The sequence below is a fragment of the Homo sapiens genome, chromosome 10, assembly GCF_000001405.40.
Source record: "Homo sapiens chromosome 10, GRCh38.p14 Primary Assembly".
Classification (NCBI taxonomy): Eukaryota; Metazoa; Chordata; class Mammalia; order Primates; family Hominidae; genus Homo; species Homo sapiens.
Window position 1 is genome coordinate 58050037 of NC_000010.11, and position 1804 is coordinate 58051840.

Sequence of the window (1804 nt, forward strand, 5' to 3'; positions counted from 1 at the left end):
AAATTTAAAATTCCAAGATCAGTAGATTGTTGGAGTCAAAAGCGTCCTAGGAAACTTTAAGTCCAATGCATTTATTTTATTTGTGGAAAAAATGAAAGCCAGAGAGGTTAAGTGGCTTGTCTAATATCACACAAAAAGCTATTAGCAGAATCACTAGGGACCTTCTATCTGTGAACATCTGTGAAACAATGAGAGGTCACTCATTTGATAATTGATGACTGAGTGTTGAAGTAATAGGTCACTTGCCCATGTCTATTACAACCCTAACATAGCAAATTTGCATTGGACTGGCTTTTGGTAGAAAGTGCCTTCTTAATTTAAAAAAAAGTCTGGTTTCAGGGCTCTCAACAAGCCACTTGTGAAATGGCTTTGATTACAGGGGAGATTTCAGGGCTCCTCAAATAACACTCAAAGCCAACCTTGAACAACTGAAGAAAATCAAAATATTTTACCCCAAAATATATTTCTCTGACATATTTTGAAATGACTGCCACAGGGCCAACAGACACAAGTAGCCCTACAAAGCTGTCTTTTGTGGGGGAAATTTGTATCTGTAAAGAATCTCCATTAATGCAGCCTTGCCTTCCCTTTCTAAGCCTTTCCCAGATCTTAGAGAGATTAAACAGAGTCTGACATCTTTAAAGGTCTGAAAAGAGATAGTTAACCACCTATTCTTTCTGAGGGCTGCTATCTATGAGTCTTCATCAACATAACAAGGACACCTTTGCTAGCCAGGCCTCTTCCTTTCTCCCTCCCAAAACCTGCCTTGCCACTAACACCTGTTTTACCAGCCTAACCTATTTTTGACCATACTCTGAGCCCACATTCTTTCTATAACCTCAGGGTGGTGTATAAGCTTCTGTACCTCATTGGGGGTGGGGTCTTCATTCTGAAGGTGTGCATACATGTTAAATAAATTTGTGTGCCTTTTCTTCTATCAGTCAATCAGCCTCATGTCTGTGATTTTTCAGCCAACCTTCAGGTTTTATGCTAGGAACCAGGACACAACCAAGAAGAACCCAGAAAAAGAAATCAAACAGAATGATGCCAGATTATTATAATAAGCCTTCAGAAATAAAAGACACTCAAAATAGCCCTGATAGTTTAAAGTCGTTCCTTGTAGTCCTCAGTATGTTTTTTTGTGGTTTGTAACCTAAAGCCTCTATGCATCTGTAAATACCCACATATTATCCTTTTGCTTTATAAATGCAATTACTGCATATAGCTGCTTCAAGAAACACTAGCTGCCTCCAAATTGATTTCACTTTCCTGGTAAGGTTTGATTCTCTTGTTACCATTCCCACCGTGACTCAGTTCCTAGAGCAGAGAAACTGTAAGCACAGAAAATATCTAAAAATTGTAGGAAGCAAACGCATGTTACAGTGGTATAATAAAAAATATATTTGATTTTGTACGGTTCCTGGCACAGAACTTCTGAGCCCCTGTAATTTCCTAGTGACAAGAGTGTCTTTTGTTATGCATAAAAACCCCCATTAATCACACCTGAGTTTATGCTAATGCATGACTTAGGGTAGGGTCCCTGGATAGCCTCAGGATGGGACTGGTCACCAGAAAGACCAAGTGATTAGAGGGTTGGAATTTCAGCCAGGACCACCAGCCTCCAGGAAGGGGCTGGAGGTTAAGCTCTATAAAATTCGAACAATGAAACTTGATGAATTTCCAGGTTGGTGAACATATCCACATGCCAGGGAGTACAGTGCACCCCAACTCCATGGCAACAGAAGCTCCTGCCCTCGGCACCCTTTCAGACCTCACCCTAGGTCCCTTTTTATCTGGCTCCTCA

The 1804-nt window shown here is 40.5% G+C and overlaps 1 annotated feature.

Moving 5' to 3' along the window:
- Positions 487–987: an enhancer, noted in NCBI's record as "OCT4-NANOG hESC enhancer chr10:59810283-59810783 (GRCh37/hg19 assembly coordinates)". NCBI's record gives its function as "activates a minimal SCP1, AML or CMV promoter by ChIP-STARR-seq in primed H9 embryonic stem cells {active_cell/tissue: H9 hESC(primed)}" and the evidence as "EXISTENCE:reporter gene assay evidence [ECO:0000049][PMID:30033119]".